Source organism: Homo sapiens, chromosome 2, assembly GCF_000001405.40.
Source record: "Homo sapiens chromosome 2, GRCh38.p14 Primary Assembly".
Taxonomy (NCBI): Eukaryota; Metazoa; Chordata; class Mammalia; order Primates; family Hominidae; genus Homo; species Homo sapiens.
Genome location: NC_000002.12, coordinates 198,128,435 through 198,150,070, shown reverse-complemented (window position 1 = coordinate 198,150,070; position 21,636 = coordinate 198,128,435). Strand labels below are relative to the sequence as shown.

At 38.0% G+C, this 21,636-nt stretch overlaps 1 protein-coding gene across 4 annotated transcripts in view; it reads right to left on the bottom strand.

Moving 5' to 3' along the window:
* Nucleotides 1–207: 207 nt before the first annotated feature.
* The window catches only part of PLCL1 (phospholipase C like 1 (inactive)), a 345,271-nt gene continuing 323,842 nt past the window's right edge, over nucleotides 208–21,636 (bottom strand). For all 4 annotated transcript variants that reach the window (NM_006226.4, XM_005246643.5, XM_017004339.3 and 1 more), the window contains exon 6: nucleotides 208–3,291. In NM_006226.4, the coding sequence (NP_006217.3) occupies nucleotides 3,109–3,291 (183 nt within the window). In that variant the 3' untranslated portion in view covers nucleotides 208–3,108. The remainder of the gene's footprint in view (nucleotides 3,292–21,636) is intronic.

The following is a 21,636-nucleotide window of genomic DNA, read 5'->3' as shown; positions in this document are numbered from 1 at the left end:
TATGTGTGGTGGTTGTGAGGTGGGGAGTGGGAGGTGTTCTGTGTTGTTAGATTATCCAGTATTTTAAAACATGCAGGACATTGAATTGTACGTAACATTTTCTGAATTTCAAAAGCTGTCTATTGCTTAAAGATTTTTTTAAAAAATGTTCAATGGCCAAATAAAACACATCATTTTTGGACTAGATTCAGTTCAAATGCTTGGAACTCTAATGTAAATACACATTTATTGACACAGAAAGATATCCATAACATATTGTTAAAATTTTAAACACCCTGCTACAAACAGTTTATATAATATCTCAATTTTGTTAAAATACAAGCATATTTACATATATGTATAAACTCTAAACAGTGTCTAAAGGGATATAAATCAAAATGTTATTAGTGGGTAATTTTGCTTTTCTGTTGTATATAGTTCTCTATTTTTGTATTTTTATATTGACCATTAATATTTTATATTCAGAAAATAAATGATACAGTTCTTTGTATCTGTGGTTATAAAGGTAAGAGTTAATAGTCTGGTTTAAAATGTTAAGAATAAACTTAAAATCAAAATCACTAAGTATATAATCTTGCACATGAAATCAGACAGACCCAAGTTCAAAATCAATTATTCCATTAATTACCTCAGTGGCTTTGGGCTTTCTCACCTGTAAAATGCCAGTGATAATACCCGCCATCTCCACCTCAGATCCTATTGGTGATGTAAAAATGAATAAATAAAAATAGAATTAATATCTAAAACACTACATTCCTAGCATCACCAAATCTAAGTAGATAGAAGAGAGAAGGGGGCTTTTTCTACCACAGTTCAAGTCTAGAAAGGAGACAGATGCTCCTCATAGAATGTAACAATGTCATGGAGGCATAATACACAAAAAAAAATTGTTTGTTTTTGCTATTCTATCTGGAGGCAGGAACATCACAGGAGACTAGGAGACTTTTCCCTTGCCACCTCCACTCCCAGAATCCAAAGCTCCTCCCTGCTCCACATCTCACTCCCCATCTAGCAAGGACACCCAGTGGAATGAAGCAGAGTATGGCTGACAACCCACTGCCAGAAATAGCATCAGATGAGGCAGAATCCATATTACGTTTTTGAGAATTTTTGGGTGGGTCCTAAGTGTGAGTAGAGCTCTGGGACAAATAAAATAAACTAGAGAAGCTACTTCCAAGGATTGGATTTGACCCTGGAGTAAATAAATGTATAAATATTGTTTGAGAGTTTGTCATCCTTTATCTCCTCTTCCCACCTAACTGTATATCCAGTAAAGACATGGATTTACCAAATAGAATTCAAGTAGATGAAGAGGTACACTAGTAAAATCAACCAATCAGCTGATGTAAGGTGGGTTTTGTTTCTGTCTATAGAACCTCTTTTTCACCACAAAGGGCTTAACACCTGCATTCCACTATTCCTCCTACCAGCAAGTTAAATATAACAGAGGGTAAAGAAATTTTTTCAGGCCATTGTAGCATCATTGGAAACTTGCCTTCAAATGACTTCAGGTACCTCCTCCTCGAGTGCCCAGTTTTAAACCCAGGGAATAATTTCATCATATCTGGTCCATGGAAATAGCAAACTCTTTAAGATATTTTTGATGTAGTAACCCATTTTCATTAGCTTTGCTTTTTCAATTCACAATAAAAGAAAACAATAAGTGTTTTTTTCATATCTTTACTCTTTCAGTAATGTGCAACATAAACATAATAGTGTTAAGAAGTCAGAAATAACACAGAAGCTATAGGAGATGTTTATATTTGCAAAATTTCAACAATTATCTTCTCTAGGTTTCCCCAAATTAGCATATTTGTTAATCAAATTAATTAAGAAGCTTTTCAAAATAAAAGCAATGCTTTAAATAAATATATTCTTTCATAACCATAGAACATTTAGTTCTGTTGGAGGTAACAAACATTACACTCAAGTACTTTATGAAGACATTAGGGTAAAAATTACCTAGATGCAATTATAAATGTACCCTAATTAGTCATTTCTTTTTGCATGTATGCTTTTCTGTGTGTGTTAGGGTTATATCATAGATGTGTGGTAACTGGTTAGCTCTTAAATTATCACAAAGATATTATCGGACCCACAGAATTTATATCAGCTCAATGTGATGATATGATATTGTTTGAACAATATCTTTAAATTTAAATTTAGTACCCTAAATTACATCCAAACAAAGCCAACACCTCTAAGCTGCCATATCTGTTATAGAAAATGAGTGCTAGACTCTCAGCTTGGAAGAATGAGACCTTCCTACAAATCTCGAAATTATACAACAATATTATTGTCACATCAAAATCCTAATTGCAACAGAGCTTTCAGTGTGTTTCAGAGTACCACACAGGTAGGTATAAATTCACTTATGATCAGCTTTTCTAGTGAAATCATATGTTTAGTAAATGACTACAGAAAACTTCCTAAAAATTGATTTTATTTAATAAATATTTTTTAAAGTTTTCTGACTGAAGAAATGACCTTGCTAATCTTTTTAGAAATTCTCATCATCTGTTTAATCTTTCATTCACTTTTATTTCTACTCTGATTCTTAGGAATTTTTCTAATCTATATTTAATCTACCAAAACATCTATGCTTTGATAAATTTGGCTTCCTTCAATAATAAGCTATGCTAAGATCACTAAATTAAATGTCAAAGGCAGAGAAGTCAAATTAAACACAGCAACAGGTTACAGTAAGTGCTCTTTAGAATTTCAGATTAAAACAATTGTCCCAAAATGATCAAGGAATAACTCACTAAATGAATAATGCAACACAGAATAGATTTTAACAGAATTTCTCTCTCTCTCTCTCTTTCTCTCTCTCTGCCACACACACACACACACACACACACACACACTCTTCCACAGGCATCCACACAGGGGTGTTGACACATGTCTCAGAATTTAAAACACTGATACTAAAGGCTTTAATTTAGATAAATTAACTACACTGAAATACTGACATTGTGAAAATATCTATGTCCAATACCCCATATAGGGCACCATTTTGTGAACTTATAAAACATTTAAAGAAAGAAAACAAGAATGAGAAACCAGAGTCCTTGATAAGATGGGTGAACGTGTCGATAATGCCCAGAGTCACAGCTTCCCATTCTCCTCACTACTTTCCTTCTCCTCTATGGCTTCCAGGCTGCGCTTGCTCTTGGCCTCAGCACTGCTGCTGGGGGCTTTACTCAGTCCACAGGACAGGCATGCCAGCTGGATCTGCTTCATGTTTTCTATAGCTTCATTCTTGGCATTCTTCAACAGATCTCCTTGGCCCTACAAACAGAAAAAAACAGGCATCAAAGAAGACAGTTATGGGCCAGGCATGTGCTGAGTGACATCACTCTATGTTCTTACTGCCCATTGCTGAATAAGGAAACAGACCCAGACCTGCAAGCTCACTTTTCCAGGGTTTAACCCAAGGTTCTTTTCTAACATTATTAAGTGACTTTGCTTGTTAAGCCAAGTACCTCAACCTGAGCCTGACCAGCTGGCTATGCAATTGCTGGCAGTCCGTTGAGATTCCTATTGTGAGGAATCCTCCTCTTTATGTGCTGAGGACATCAACTCTTCCATCACCATGGTCTGAGACTCTGCACACTGCTGCAATACCTACCCCGCCCAGATCCAGCATTCCTAGTCTTGGGAGAAAACAAGGAAAGAAGCTCTTCCTTAAAGAAGTGAAAATAAAATCTCCCCCTCTGTACAAGAGCTTACAAAGCAAAGTGTCTTCTGTAAAGTAAGTCACATACCCTTATGCTTGGTGAGCTGGTTTTTAATATACTGGGTCATCCTTGCAATCTGCCTGTTGTTAAATTATCAGTCACCCACATTACTTCTGCCTTTTCCATCATCCTGAAGATGATGTTCCCACCTGGCAGATGGAGAAAAAGAGTCTCCAGAGGCAAAACAAAAAGGAAATGAGGATTGCAGGAACACATTAGCTGTCATTTACATCAGTGCCCAACAGAGATCTTTTCCTGCTATTTTTATTTCTTATTTTAGTTCACTGTTATGAAGATAAAGTGCGTATACTGATACTGGCCCAAGGGCTGAATGACTGAGTGTGGGGAAGCAGGGACAGGTGTCTATGGCCCATAGACAGAGGAAGAAGTAGCTTCTTCCCTCTCCTCTCCATTCTCATGGCAGTGCCTGAAAGTGTGACCTTGAAAGGACAATATGGGTGGATATGGGGTTATGACGATTGCTGGAGCATTATTCTACAAAGCAGAGGCTCAGAGAAAGGATAATTTACCTATTTTATGAAAGGCCAGTAAATGCTTTTTCCTTAGGGTGTATGAAGAAACTTGTATTTTACAAAAGCTTGGAATATTTTATTTCTCAAAACCTAAATATGCACTTGCCAATTCTATCCTCTGTAAAAAATAGCTAAATCCTTCTAATAGCAGCTTTTAATTATATGGGATGATTAAATAGTTGGGCTTTGCCTGATGTTTGTGTTAAAGCGAACTTCTTCTCAAGTACATCAATTATGGTATGGGATTTTGGAAGAAGAGTTGGAGGTGGACAGTTTTGCCTTCTCCTGAGGAGAAATGAAGCTGAGCCTGATGAGGTTAATTGACTGTCCCAAGGTCACAGCTGGTTAATCGCTGAGCTGGGACTAAAGTTCAGGCCTTTGGCCTCCTGCATCAATGCTCTATTCCCCACACCATGTTTACAATCTAGTCTGAGACTAAAGACTAGAGATTAGAGCCTAAAGACTCTGTCAGTGAGAGATGTATTTTCTAAAGAAAAAATATTTACTACACCAGCAGACTTTGGGAAGTCTGTTCTTAACACTATAGACATCACGAATGAGTCTGCTCAACAAAACTGCACATTCTGCACATGTATCCCAGAACATAAATTTAAAAAAAAAAGTGAAGTCACATCCACTTTGAAAAGTGCAACTCTTCAGTAATAATAATAACAGACCAACATATGAAGTGCTTGCTCAGTGTGGTCACTCTTTGTGCTTTATACATGTTCATTCAATCATTCATTACAACATCCCTATGAGATGGGTACTTTCATTATTCTCAATTTACTGATTAAAAAAACTGAGGCCCAGAGCACAGTCACCCTTCCCAAAGTCATACAGCTGCTAAGTGGTAGAGCTGGAGCTTAAAATCCAGCAGCTGGCTCCGGGGTCTGTGGTTTTAACCACTACCTGATAGGCATCTTTTAACAGCAAAGCAGGCACTCTCTGCAGGGCACCCTAGAGACTCCTATTCATTGTTACCCATGGAAGCAACGCAGATAAAAAGAAAAGCATTGCCCATGTGACACAGCCTGACACAATTTAGAGATAGCATCCAGAATCAGGAAGACAGGGCAGAGCAAGAACACACTAGCAGGGACGAGGGTTGGAGCATCTTCAACCAATTTTTATCTGGGCCATTTTCTCTTCTGCAAAAATGATGAAAATATCCTTCAGCCTTCCTTACAGTTCTAAGATTAAAGACAATATGTTGAAGAGCTCTTTATGATTTAAATGATCATAAGTATAGGAATCACAATGATATAAGGTGATTTAGAAAGTGGTTAACATTATCTGCTACTATATATAATAAGTATCTTGGTACTATCTATATTTTATTAAAAATTTGACTAACATTTAAAATGCATCTACCAGAGTCTGTTTTACAGAGATATGTATAATGTATATGTACTACTATATTTTTAAAGGAATCTTTCCATTTATAAAAAATCTATTAGTAATGAGACTATATCCTCCTTCATTTTCAGAGTATTACTTTTAAGTGTTCCCTTTTCATTTAGTTTTGAAAGTTTCATCAAGAATTTTAAAAGCATAGCAGTAGCAAAACTGGCAACTTTCCTAATTGCAAGAGAACAGTGAAACGTACAAAAACATCATTTTATCCTACTAACGCATAAAATTCTCACATCCCCTTTTCCCACAGCATGGCATGAAACATATTTTAATAATCCAGAATGTCATCTCATTGGTTCTAAGAGGTGGCATCCAAATGCCAGACTGTGCCATTTCTGGTAAATAGAAGTCAGTCTCTGTAGAAAACAATGGCCAATGGGAGGAAACAGTTTGTACCAGTGCATAACTAACACAACTACATCATCTCCTGATAACCCTGGAGACAACACACACTGGCTGTACCATATAGGCAAGAAAAAAAAAAAATAGGTAAACTATTAACTAATAAAAGAAGCAAAACTGAAAGGCTGTGTTGTGAAGAGTGTACATTGAAACATGATATAAACTTCTGTTTTCTCTTTTTTTATGAAGGAGGAATAGCAGTCATCTTTCTGTTCTGTGGTTCCAGGAATCACAACCTGCATCTCTTCTTTGGGTCTTCCGAATCAAGGCACCAGAATCAGAAAAGACACATTCTGGTGAAAATTGTAGAAGGTGAATTTGATTGTTAACAACCACCACCCTGGCATTTTCCCTTGGCATGCTGACTTTTTTCCCATTTTATATGCAGCAATTTTCCCTAATCATCTAGCAATCTCTTTCTCTCTACTCTGTCACAAACACCCCCAAACTTCTCTTAACCAGCCAGCTTATACCAGATCTCCCTCTAAACGTCTTTGTCCTGTGTATCATTTCCTCCAAAATATATTAGGTACAGCAGGTGTCCCCAACCCTGGGGCCATGGACTGATACCAGTCCCTGTGACCTGTGAGAAACCAGGCTGCACAGCAGGACGTGAGCAGTGGGTGAGTGAGCATTACTGCCTGAGCTCCCACTCCTGTCACATCAGCAGCGACATTAGATTCTCAGGAGTGTGAACCCTATTGTGAACTGAGCCTGCAAGGGATCTAGGTTGTGTATTCCTTATGAGAATCTAATGCCTGTTGATCTGAGGTTGATCCAGTTTCATCCCAAAAACCACCCCCCGACACCCACCATGGTATTCAGGTCAGCCAAGCCATTTAAAGGTATTCGTCTATAGTATATATTTAAAGAGTAACCTAACAAGTCATTCTTAAGAAAGTGTTTTAATCTTATTCTCCCTAAACAGAGGTCTTAAGGGAAGAGGAGGAACCCCAGGAGAATTCATTTTATTTGGTGATATAGAAATGGAAACACCTCTTGTATACTAAAATAAGTTTAGGATTGTTATGGCATGAAATGCAGAATTAATGTACAAGTTGACCACTGAACACTCAACTTGAAAAAAAAATGTCAAGCTGCTGCCGGCATTTCTATACTAGCAATCTCATGGGGATTTGAAGTATCCTCTGGTACTGGGGATCCTTCATGAAAAAAAAAAAAGAGAAGGATGCTTTAACTCAAAGGAAAGTGAGGGTAATAGAGAGCGCCTCAGGTAGACTGATGCTGATGGGACAACAAGACTAATAGAAGTCCCAAGAGCAATGGCCACCATTTAGCCTCCACAGTGATTTGGCTTCTGAATGTAAGGTTCCACTGGCAGGTCCAACACATTTAGAAAGTAACATGGACTCATGCAAAGCCACAGAGATCATTATAGAAATTCTGAATTTAAAAATGAGTGATAATTAGTGAATATTTAAAAAACAAACATTAAGCATTCCTTATTAAATCTTTCCAACTGCATTAAATTATAATTAAAGTACATTATCTAGAAATCAGGAAATAACTGATGCAATTTAGATTGCAAATTGGGCTGCCGTGCATTGCTGTGGTGATATATCACCACAATTTTGATTACTACTAATAAATTTACTACTGACAAGAAATATTGTCACAACACTAAACAGCAGCTAACATTTACTGAACACTTAATATACTAAACGTAAACCAGTTCAAATACATCTCATTATATCCTAACCATAAAATAGGGTAGAATTCTAAATATAAATTATCTTTTAGTAATATATCTTATAACCCATCAAAAGATATTTAGGATTTCTGTTACTTCCATTTTTACCAAAAAAATGCAGTCCTCCCCCCACCAATGAAAATGGTTTTGACTACAGTCTGGCAGAATTATTCACAAAAGACATCCCAGGCTCCTTCACACCCACTTTTCCCATGAACCGCACTATCCCTTGTGATATTAGTACACAAAAGAGCAGGAGAACATCATAACTAGTGTTCTCATCAAGTGTAAAGGAAATGAGTGGGTTGTTTCAGAGCACACCACAAATATTTAAAGCAGCTAATTGGGACTCTGGGAATAGGAAAACCCTCACATATACAAAACTACACACATAAACAAATGCAGCTCTGTCTCCAAGTCAACTCGTGTGAGTATTTTTGAGCCCACACTCATCAGCAGACTGGGTTTTCTGATATTCTTTTATCCATGGGAGAGTCCATACCCACAGTAGAATCACCCTTGGACAGTGCTGCAGTAGAAACCAGTCACAGACATCATAGTGGGATGAGTAGTTATTTATTTGGTCCATTGATGGACCATACTGTGGAGGGCTGTGCACAACTGCCATCTTACTAATTCAAAAACCATCCGTTGGGACTCTATCATTTAAGAAGTTTAATCCTTTGCTCTGAAGAGGTAAAACAACTGCTACAATGTCCTTCATTTGAGAAATTAAAACAACAAATCAAAAATGTTTTGATGTCATGTTAGACTTTTTTTTTTTTTTTTTTGATGTTACACTCTTGGTATGTTACGCTGTTTGGAAAACTGGGTGAAACTATTCAAAGATGGCCTGGAATTCTTGCTCTCTAGAATGAAGGCCTATCTGTGTAGGAATTATATACAAGATGTTAACAAGAGTTAAAAGGCACAAAGGTGCAGCTATTAGGAAATTGCATATAATATAACTTAATTTTGCACAAAAATAGAAGTGTCCACTGCACTAAGTTATCAATGCTCAGATTTACTGTTTTGCAACACCTCAGCAACCAAATATTTCAACTGCATTCTACTTGCTATTTAAAAAGTTAAATTTTTACTCCATGAACACTCAAGAAATATGGATGAATAGTCGTAGAGTAGTTCTGTTCTAACAGTCTTGGCTGAATGAAGCTTTATCTGTTATTCTTCTGAAACTCTAAACCCAAAACAAATGAAACTCTGCTTTTCAAATCTTTATTATATAATGCAATAAAAATAATCTGTACAGGAACATGAAGAGAATTACACTGGACATGCTCACCTGAGACATTAGATTTTGTAACTGTATATAAAGTTAATTTTTTAATTAGTTACATAAAGGATGTATTTTAGGATTGGTCACAAACTCTGATTAATTGAATACTTCTGAAAACTATGGAAACTGAATATAAATAAATCTTTTTAGTTCCTGAGAATCTAATTCTCAAGAAAAAATAATTTATAAAGTATAGAAGACACTTTAAAGAAATGTTAAGAATAATTTAATGCCAAAGGGTCCACAGAAAATTGTAAAATGCAGCAGATGACATGTTTAATAAGCCATATGAAAGGCTCAGAAAATTTTGAAATCATACTCTGTTAAAATTCAACATAATGAAAATTAAATTTGAAAGAAATTTGAAAGATCTTCTTTTACCACATTTCTTTCTCAAATAACACCTGCATTGTTACAATAGCTTTCCTATCAAGCTTTCTTTGTTACAATAGCTTTATTTATCAAGAAGTCTTGGTTAACTTGAATGTTGAAGAAATGAAGGACCCTAGTTACTTCAAAATAGTAATTAACTGCATTTTAAGCAGAAAACCTTTGTATTAGCCATGTTTTTTAAAATAGTTTTAATATAAGGAGACAATTTTATGTTCTTGTATATATAGAATTCTACATATAAGTGAAGTCTTTCAACATTATTTAAACACTACTCACTAATAATAATATAATTTAAAAAACCATTAATAATCCAGTGGCAACAATGCTGACAATAGGTCCTGTTACTGGTGGAAAACATCTGTATCACTCAATAAAACCCACTGCATTGAGATGCACTTGTTGACCAGAGCTTAAAAAAGAAGTATGGGCCAGGCGCGGCCAACATGGTGAAACTCCGTCTCTACTAAAAGAACAAAAATTAGCTGGGTGTGTTGTTAGGCACCTGTAATCCCAGCTACTCAGGAGGCTGAGGCAGGAAAATTGCTTGAACCCAGGAGGTGGAGGCTGCATTGAGCCAAGATCGCACCACTGCCCTCCAGCCTGGGTGACAGAGCATGACTCCATCTCGGGGAAAAAAAAAAAAGTATGAAATTTAATGTTTCAAATTCTCATTTATTGTCCCTGTTATACCTTGTTCAAAGCTATGTATATGTGAACTGAGATACACCCATCTCTTCCCTGTGCTTTGGAAACAATGGTGGTCTCTTAGCTATTAATGAGGACTTGCACCTTAGTTTTCATTTTATTCACTTATCCAGCAAACAAATATTTATTAAACAATTACTGTATACCAGACTTTGGCCTGAGGTTCTCAATCTATCAAAACCAACCCTTTGAAACAAATACTTTGTAAGGCTTTCTTTATTTTCATAAACTTAAATTCATAGATAATATAACCTATTCATGTATTATTAAAATAAATATAATACCCTAGCTGTAATATAAAGGAGAAAAAGGGAATGGTCATTTAAAATAAAATAACATGTATTGCCATATGTGAATGTCAGGCAGGCACACCAGAAACCTGAAGTAGGCAGATGCCTGTACTTAATATGAATGCAATTAGATATGAAAGAGAAATAAGATCAGATGCCATTCCACTCAAAAAATACATATTTAATGGAAAATGATAATGCAAATGTAGAGACAGACACTAGTATGAAAACAAATAATGGCAATAGACTAGTTGTATTTGCATAGAATAAAAGAAGGAAAGAAACAACCTCAATTAAGGTCGGCATAACATGCCAAGACAAATACAAACCCTCACTGTGGAAAGAAAAAGCTGATAATCCCATAAATGAGGAAGTAAATAATGTCCATACACCACATCAAAACTGCCAAATCTTTTTTTTTTTATTTTGAGACGGAGTTTTGCTCTTGTTGCCCAGGCTGGAGTGCAATGGTGCGATCTTGGCTCACAGCAACCTCCACATCCTGGGTTCAAGCGATTCTCCTGCCTCAGCCTCCTGAGTAGCTGGGATTACAGGTACAGGCCACCAGACCCAGTTGATTTTGTATTTTTAGTAGAGATGGAGTTTCTCCATGTTAGTCAGGCTGGTCTCAAACTCCTGACCTCAGGTGATCCACCTGCCTTGGCCTCCCAAAGTTCTGGGATTACAGGTGTGAGCCACCACGCCCAGCAAAACTGCCAAATCTTTAAAAGTACTCCAAAGGTCATTGTTCTTGTGATTGATAATACCAGCTGATACTTTGTGGGGCCCAGGCGGATGCCCACCATGGATTATCAATAATAAAAAATAAGGTATCAGGTTAAAACCATTATCTGACTGCCCAATTTGTTCCAATATTACTGTGTAGCAATTATATGGTCAAGTGGACAAAATACCCAAGGTGAGTAAATTATTCAATAATTTGGAAACAATGTCTTTATTTCATTTAGACTTACCTCTCAATAACTACCTTTTACTCAAGTACTGGCCTTCAAACAACTTCTTGTAAAAAATAATAATAATTAATTAATATCATATACTAAAGTATTCTGATTTGTATTTTAGAGGGTGATATGGTTTGGCTCTGTGTCCCCACCCAAATCTCATGTTGAATTGTAAACCCTGGTGTTGCAGGAGGGGATTTGGTGGGAGGTGAATGGATCAAAGGGGCAGATTTCCTCCTTGTTGTTCTTGTGATAGTAAGTTCTCAGGAGATCTGGTTGTTTGAAAGTGTGTAACACTTCCCCTTAGCTGTTTCTCTTTCCTGCCACCATGTGAAGATGTGCTTGCTTCCCTTTTGCCTTATGCCATGACTGTAAGTTCACTGAGGCCTCCCCAGCCATGCCTCCTGTACAGCGTGAAGGACTGAGAAAACAAAACAAAACAAAACAAAAAAACCTCTTTTCTTTATAAATTACCCAGTTTCACGTAGTTCTTTATAGCAGTATGACAACTGACTAATACAGAGGGTTTACTCAGGCAGGACTTAACAGAAATCTTGCAGGACACAGGACATTTTTCATCATGTTGTACTGCCCTGCCCAGAGCATGACATCAAATATTCCTGTCTGTTTCCACTAAATGCCAGGAGAATCCTCCCAATCACCTCTACAACTTCCCAGAACACAGCCTAGGGGGCAGTACTGCACCCATTGAGAATCACCAGGCTGGACTCTGGGGGTTACAAAAGTGAGCACAGACATCATCCCTGCCCCTACGGAACCTATTTCTAGTGTGGGATACAGGTATATATAAAATAACCACAAAAATAAAGTTATATCTAACCTTAAATTATGCTAAGTACTTGAGGGAAAAGAATGTATTGCTGTGAGGACTAGGAGATTAGACAAGCCTCCCCATAAAAAGTAACAAGAAAGCAATGATTTGCAAGATGAGCAGGCATCTTCATTTATTTCTTGGCATCTTATGATCAGTGAAACACAGTACAAGGATTTTTTTATGCTTGCCTGGAGGAGAGGCAAGAATCCTCCTCCAGTCTTACAGATACAGATATACATGGTATGGGAGAGTGTTCTGGAAGGTTACCGCCTTTATGGCACAGCACCAAATTGCCTAATACATTCCATTTTTCCTTACGTTTTCTCTATTTAGGATTTATTTTGTTTCATTGACATTTATACTGAAAGAAACACTGAAAGTGGAAAACAATAAAGTGTCATTTAGTGACAGTATCACTGAGATCTGCTAAATAACCGTTCTTAGTAATTATTTCAAATTTTCGAGCCATTCGAAGGACTCCTTTTATAACCTTCAGGTGAATAAATGGACACAGGAAAGCTAAAAAAATACATTGCCCAGGTTCACACGAGAAATAAGTGTGAAGGAAATGAATAATGCCGGCTTCCCAGGCCAAGAGTTGTTTTTCTTAATCTCTATATTGTTTATTTGTTTTTTTGTGTTTTTTTATTTAATTTAGGTACATTACATGATATGGTGCACATGTCATCAAATAGATCTATTTGATCAAATAGAAAAGAAAAACTAGCTTAAGACTTCTTTGGTTTATAAAAGAATTTCTTGATAGAACTTCACAAATGTCCCAGACATAAATACTATCCTTGTGCTGATATTTTGATTTCTAACTTTTGTCTTCAGTGTGGGTACAGGGTTTGGAAGCATTTAATAATTTTAATCTGAGCCAGATTTTCGGAAAACTGAAATACAAAAGCAATGATAGAGGATTCATGAGTGGGATAAGTGCTGGAAAAAAGGACTGGTTTTCACTTCAAAGGTATCGTCATAAGCCCTGATGGCTCAGATCCAAAAAGAAGATTATTAATGAATCATATTCATGACAGGCATCCACTGAACGTTTTGAAGGATGCTACTAATGTGAGGCCTCATCAGTCAATTCTCAGGGCCCCTGTACTGATTTCTCCTTGCAGCACCCATGAGCCCCCACAAGCCTTCCACATAAGCTGGCTGCCCAAGATGGCAGAACACACTAGCTGACGAGTGGAACCCCAGGAGTGATGAAGGAATAAATCTGATTCTAAGGATTCCTCATTTCTCTCTTAGAATAACAATCTAGACTAGTCTCTAGTCTCTAGACTAGAGACTTTGAATCGTAACCATATTGCCATTCTTATAAGTGAATTTACAGCATAAGCTCCACTCTTACTGTACCTGGGCTCAAATCCTGGCTCCAAGACTTACTAGCTTTTTGACCTTGGGCAAGATCACTGGGTGCCTCAGTTTCCTCATCCATAAAATGGCTATAATAATTGTACTCACCTCATAGATTTTTTGTGAGATTAAGAGAGATAATACCTCTAAATTCTTTAGAACAATGCCTGCCATACATGGAAAACTCTAATGATCGTTAGCAATTATTATTCTATTATATAAACAGAAATAACAATGTTGTAGATAAGTCCACTGTCCTTTGCCTCATAAAAATGTGAGGAAACAAAAACATCTTGAAACTTAAAAAGACAAGTTGACAAAGTGGAGAGAATAAAATGCGACAATAAAAGCCAGGATTGCATTACTCATTAGTCCAAAAAAAGACCCCATGTTTAAAATAAAAATGACAATTGCATTAATGTGGCAACTTTCCTTGGGGGATCCCAAAAGGCATCATCCTCCCCTCTCAAAAGCTTATTTTCTTACTCATAATTTAGAGGCTACAACATTGTTCAGTGTCAAACACCAAAGCGTTGCTCACTATTGGAATAAAAAATGTAAAACAGCTGTTTCATTTAAGCCAGCAGAGAAAGTAAAAATGAGCTGAAATCATTTGTCACTAAAAGAAATTAATGCCAAACATTATCTTTTGTGACAGACCTGTTTTATTTCTGAAGATACCATAAGATAGGTTCCTACGGGGGTGCTCTGTTTAAGAAGCCATCTGTCTGCTTTGGGCAAATGACTGCAAGCCTAATCCACTTACAGAAAATGTCAACAAAATTGCTTCAACACCAGTGAGCTGAATAATAGAAAACCCCAAGCTAAACTTTAAAAATATGATTCAACTGCAGGAAGCCTTATGAATTTAGGTTTGTGTGATGATACTGGTATTCTAAGAATTTTCTTGCAGTCATTTTGACAAAAGAACCATTCAATAAAATAATAGCAGTCACTGCTTGTTTATTCCCTTGCTCTCTGCTCTTTCCTTCCCATTATTGTGATCATCTCCCTCTGTGTCAACAGAACTAATAGGATAGGACAGAATATTAATGTCAATCTTTAGCAAGGTGATGAAGGTAATTAATTGCATTTCAAATGAAATTTAGTAACAGATCGTGATTAGCACAATAAACAAACACTGTTTAAAAGTTCCAACATCTCAAATTAACTTTCCATGGATAATAAATGACCCTGAGATCTGAATTCATACTACCGCCATGAGTGTCATAAGCCGAATACAGAAGGAGCTTCTATAGAAATCTCTACCTGACCAACTCATGCTATTCCCATTTCAAAAAATATCATTTATAACAGCTTGAGAGACAGAGGATGGCCCAAACCCCAGAGCAAAGGCTATCAAGATAGTTACAAATATTAGCAAAATATTTTTTAAATACATTCTGGTATTTGGTTGGTAAGGTTTCACTCTAAAAAGTTACTGTTAAATTGTTGCTCAAATTATTGGTTACTTGATCCGTCCAAAAAGTAATTCTGCAAACATGCCAGAACAAAAGTGCAAATACAATAACAACAGTATACCATAGAGTGAACTGATCACAAAAATGGCTTCAGCTGCTTCACCACCTCCACAGTGCTGGATTTCAGCAAGTAAATTGTTTTTCATGACATCTGTCCCGTGTTACACAATTCCAAGGGCACAATTCACCCTGCCTTCTACGTGCATGGCATTCCCTACAGCCAATGACAGTTGTACTACATCTGGTCTAGATATGTCCTTTTACCAAGGACATTTATTCTTTATTCTCTGCTAAATCATAATGCTTTTAAAGAGGCTGAAATTGTCCTCTTTGAGAGTGAATCATGGCATGTGTACGGCTGGCCCATCCCATAGCCTTGTAGCCACCCTTCTATGCTGGCATGAGTTCCAGGTTCTGTGTTAGCTGAAGTGGCCAAAGAGTTATTAGCAAGATATTTCTAAAGGGGCAACTTCTTCCACCCTCCGCCCAATGAGTCAGGTTTTAATGAATGAGGCTAAGGCAGCTATAAAATAAAACATGCTACTTCTTAGTTAAATCAAGGATGTGGCCAACTCAGCTTCCTCCACAATGACTGGTTTGGAGATTTGGTCATTAATGAGATATTCACTCTCGGTGCCCCAGATTCAGCAAAGCATTCATTTAAACACCAGATTAATGTTACTGCAAGGAAAGTCAAGACCTATTTTCTCTAATCTGAGACTGGCTCCAATTTCAGATCTCAGACTCAAGCCATCTACACCAACAGACTACTAGTTACACTTTTTCCTCCAACTTTTTATATTATTTAAAGATTTTTCAACCCTACACAAAAGTTGAATGAGTAGCATCCATATTTCCCAATTTTTCAGATTGTGTCGTGTTGGCTTGATCAACTTACCTATCCCCATCTATCCAACAATGTATACTTCACCCTAAATACCTCAGTGTGCAGACCATGAAAATGAGGACATTCTGTATAACTACAATACTCTTATTAACCCCAAAGAAATTAACATTCACTCAGGAATTGCATCTGATATACAGTACATATTAAATTTCCCCAGTTGTCCCAAAACATCTTATTACTTTTTTAAAAATCCAGAATCCAAACACACATTAATTACTAGCATCATTGAAAATAGCAACTCAGTTACGTGAAGTTAGAGTAAAAGCATGAGTGAGGGAGAGTGTATTGGGAAATGGAACAGCAAATTCACAGCAGTAAATACCACTCACTCAGAAAGACAAACATTTCCACAGCTTCACTCCTGTTGACTTTATGGAATATGCACCATTAAATCATCACATGCACTTGTCAAAACATTTCTTCTAAATGTCAAATACCATCACTCTTACATTCTTATTTTTTTTTTTTTTTTAGATTTCTTTTACTTGGAAGTTTTTTTTTTTTATTATACTTTAAGTTTTAGGGTACATGTGCACATTGTGCAGGTTAGTTACATATGTATACATGTGCCATGCTGGTGCGCTGCACCCACTAACTCGTCATCTAGCCTTAGGTATATCTCCTAATGCTATCCCTCCCCCCTCCCCCCACCCCACCACAGTCCCCAGAGTGTGGTATTCCCCTTCATGTGTCCATGTGATCTCATTGTTCAATTCCCACCTATGAGTGAGAATATGCGGTGTTTGGTTTTTTGTTCTTGTGATAGTTTACTGAGAATGATGATTTCCAATTTCATCCATGTCCCTACAAAGGATATGAACTCATCATTTTTTATGGCTGCATAGTATTCCATGGTGTATATGTGCCACATTTTCTTAATCCAGTCTATCATTGTTGGACATTTGGGTTGACAAATCTGAGAAAAACAAGCAATGGGGAAAGGATTCCCTATTTAACAAATGGTGCTGGGAAAACTGGCTAGCCATATGTAGAAAGCTGAAACTGGATCCCTTCCTTACACCTTATACAAAAATCAATTCAAGATGGATTAAAGATTTAAACGTTAGACCTAAAACCATAAAAACCCTAGAAGAAAACCTAGGCATTACCATTCAGGACATAGGCATGGGCAAGGACTTCATGTCCAAAACACCAAAAGCAATGGCAACAAAAGCCAAAATTGACAAATGGGGTCTAATTAAACTAAAGAGCTTCTGCACAGCAAAAGAAACTACCATCAGAGTGAACAGGCAACCTACAACATGGGAGAAAATTTTCGCAACCTACTCATCTGACAAAGGGCTAATATCCAGAATCTACATTCTTATTTTTAAATCAACTTTGTAAGTATATATGCCTGGAAAAAATTCACCATACATTCACCAAACCCATTCAACTTTGTGAGTGTCATGATAAGGCCTCCCTAATCCTTCCTATCCAGATTTCTTCCCAGAATATCTTACTGTGAAAATCAAACTATCAGTATCTAGTGGGAGAGGACATTCATATTCAATTCCTTAATATGTCAGTAGTTGAGATTTCTTAGAACTTTGAATATGTGGACTCCCCCCCCCAAAAAAACACATTTTTAAAGAAACTTTAAACTATCACCATGTAGAGAATCCAGAAGTTTGTCAGGCCTTATGCAATGCTGTCCATGTCCACAGACCTCTGGTAAAGAAAACAGCCCCACGCTGACCTTGAGTTGGAATGGCCCTGCTCTAAAAGGTAAGAACCAACCACCACAGCCAAAACTGGTTGGACCAAGGATTCACCACAGCCCAAGTGTGGCCAATCAGTAGCTGACCAGTGACCTATGAGATGTCCTGATGCCAGGCAGTAATGACAGCAATTAGACAAACCAATTGGATTAACTCTTTCTGAGACTGAAACTGAAAAATTCTAAGAGTCTTAGTTGGTTGTGAACAGAATGAAGTGCTAGAAAATATAGAGAGGAATAAAAGACCAGCAGAGCTGAGCCCCTGTAAGCCCACAGCACTAGAGTGAAAATCTACAATTCTTGCTCTTAAGGCAAGGAAAGGGGAAATGGAAAAGGAAAAGATAACACAGTCCTCTAAAGCCTGCTTCAAATGTGAAGGATCTTCTAGCCTGAGATTCCATGAGGCTGCCCATTCAGTGGCTCCTCTTCTTTCTAGGAGATGTGTTCCCTGCATCGTCACATGCAGTCTCACTTCAAGAAGCCTGAATGAGTCCCGTTTTATTTTAAATGAGAAATGACAGGCTTGCTACAATTTTAACCACACCATTTGATTGCTTGATAACCAAGGCAAAATAGAGTTTAAACCATGTCCTGGCTAAGGCTTTCAAGCTTCTTGCAGAGAAAACCAGAATCAGTCAAAAGGATAGAAAGAATAGGGGTTATGGCTGATGTCTGCAGTGGGAAGAATGATTAATAAGTTATGAATTGACTTTGTGACTTTGGAAATGTCCCTAACTCCTGTGGGCAGCAGTTTCCTTTTCTCCAAAACATGGGGATTTGACGAGACGTTCTTTGATTTGACCTCATATGCTAAATGTCTACTGTTTATTAATTGGGGCTCAGGTTAAAATTGCTATGTTAAAATTCATCACCTAATTGCTTACAATAATAGAGACTGTCTCGTGAAAGATAAAAAAGCAATTAAAGTGCTATGATAGTGGAATAGCAGAGTTCTGTGGGAATACGTACAGGGATACCTAACTCTGTTGAAGATGGGAGGCAGGAGAAGGTGAGGTGTCCATGAAGGCATCCTGAAGACTCCGTACCTGAGCAAACACCTGAAGTACAGATAACAGTGCCCCATGCAGTGTGAAAACAACAGGATGGGGGCTCCCAGGGAGCAGGGGTACAAGCAGGGTTACACACTTTCAAGGAAGAAGGGACAGTCCATGTGACTACTCAGCATGAAAGCATCCCTGGTGCCACTGAGGAAGTGGAGAAAGTTCCATGTGGCTGGAGTAGTGCATGGAAGAAGAAGGCAATGAGAGACGAAGCTGGAGGGGAAGGAGGGGAGCTGAGAAGACAGGCCACAATGAGTTTCAGAAGAGAAGTTAAGAAGGAGCTGTGGGAAGCCCTGGAAGGGCTTTAGGAAGGGAGAATGGCCATGACCAGCTTTACATTCAAAAAGATCACTCCAGCTCTATGCTATGGAGTGGGAAAAGGATAGAGGAGAAATGACTTTTCACTAACTCAGGTGATAAATGAAGATAACTAAGGTGACGGCTATGGGAATGGAAGTTTCCTAGGGAGGTATTAAGGAGGTTGACCCAACGGTGCTTGCTAACCAATTAGAGGTGGAGAGTTAAGAAAAGGATCAAGGATAACCCCCAGGATTTAGGTTTGGATAACTCTGAGTTGTCATTTATTCATTCAAGCAGGAATTCCAGAGGTGTCACTGAGGATAAGCAGGACATATGGATAGGGATAAGCACAGCTGGAGACATGCCGACCTTGCTGTGGCTGAGTGACCTCCCAGGTACAATGCCTGGGAGGTAATTTGATATATAAACTATATGGGAGGATGAGCAGGGATCATCAAGAGATAAAGAGAGTGACACCTGGGCCAAAAATACACACTTGAGATTTGACAGCATGGTGAAGATAATCAAAACCCTTTGCATGAACTGTGTCCCCCAGGGACAGAAGGTGGAGTGAGAAGATAGCCTAAGCTAGAACCCTAAGAAATACCAGCATTTAACAGAATAGCAGAGGAAAGGGAACCTGCAAACGATTCTGGGAAGAAAGAGTCAGAGATGTAGGAAGAAGAGAGAAGGGGGTGGTGTCCCAGAAATCAAGAGAAGCAGTGTTGCAAGAAGTGGGGAGTCAGCCTGGGAAATATCACAATATTCTATCTCTACAAAACATAAAATTAGCAGGGTGTGGTGGCATGTGCATGTAGTCCCAGCTACTTGGGAGGCTGAAGCAGGAGGATTGCTTGAGCCCAGCAGGTTGAGGCTGCAGTGAGCCATGATCATGCCACCACAGTCCAGCCTGGGTGACAGAGCAAGACCCTGTCTCAAAAAAATTAAAAAAAATAAAAAGTAGGGAGTGCTTAGCCACGTAGAATGTTCCCAACTAGTCAAAAAAGATAAAAACTGGAAAAGTGTCCATGAGATTTTGTGACAAGGTGGTTATTGGTGACCTTGGTGAGAATGATTTAATGGAGTGTCGGGGAAGAAGAAAGATTAAAGTTGGCTAAGAAGTGAGTGGGAGGTAAGGAAGTGGATTCGGCAAGTATAAACAACCCTGTTAAGAAGTTTGACTATGTAGGCGAGGAGATAGAAAGAGGAAGGAGATGAGCTGAAGGAGGGCTGAAAGTCCTTTAGAAAAGCCCGTTTGTATACATATTGTTGATGAAAAAAGCAAGCCAAATTCTGTAAAATATTTGAAGAGATTTATTCTGAGCCAAATGTGAGGACCATGACCTGTGACACAGCCTCAGGAGGTCCTGAGAACATGTGGCCAAGGAGGTTGGGTTACAGTTTGATATTTTAAATTTTAGGAGGACATAAGACATCAATCATGGTTTGGTAGGGAAAGGCAGAACAACTCGAAGCAGGAGACTTACAGGTCATAGGTGGATTCAAAGATTTTTCTGATTGGCAATTGGTTGAAGGGTTTAAGTTATTATCTAAAAAACCTGGAATCAATAGAAAGGAGTGTCTGGGCAAAGATAAGGGGTGTTGTTGGAGACCAACGGTCTTATTATGTAGATGAAGTCTTATAGGTGGCCATCCTTAGAGGCAATAGATGGCAAATGCTTCCTATTCATACCTTTAAAAGGTACCAGACTCTCAGCTAAACTCTTCAGGATCAGAAAAAGACCTGGAAAGGGAAGGGGCTTCTCTAAAGGAGGTAAATTTCCCCCACAAGAGATAGCTTTGCAGGGCCATTTAAAAATATGTCAAAGAAATATATTTTGGGGTAAAATACTTGATTTTTCTCAGGGCCTGCTATCTGTCATGTGATGCTATACTGGAGTCAGGTTGGAATTTGGTATCTTATTGCTACAAAGAGCCTACTGTGTCTTAAGATCTCTGTTTTAATTTTAAGGCCGATCAGTTCAGCCTGAATTCCAAAGGGAGGAAAGTATAATGCAGCGTATCCAATTCCCTTTTACCATTGAAACTGCCTTTGCAAAATTATGACTGAGACAGTGAAAGAGATCCAACTTAAATGACTCCATCTTGCCTCTAACCTCCAAGCTGGGCATAGGCTGAACTAACTTTGGGAAGAACTTATAGTTTATGGTTTAAAACAAGAACAATAACATCCCTTTCCTAAAATAAACCTCCTTCTTGACTACTAACAGTAGCCACAAGATTAGAAATTATGGTTTAGGAGTCATGCAGCTGGAGGCTACAAGATTCTGACCCTCCCTAAACTGCTCCTAAGATCAGTACTTGAGAAGTTTTGCAGACCCTGCACTTGACGGATCAACTGGCACCACCATATCAAGAAATTGGCCCATCTGATCCTGTGATGCCCACCCAGGAACGGACTAAGCGCAAGAAGACAGTAACGCCCCATGATTTCCTCTCCATAATTTCATCTCCGACCCAGCCAATCAGCAGTCCCTGACTCACTGCCCCTCCC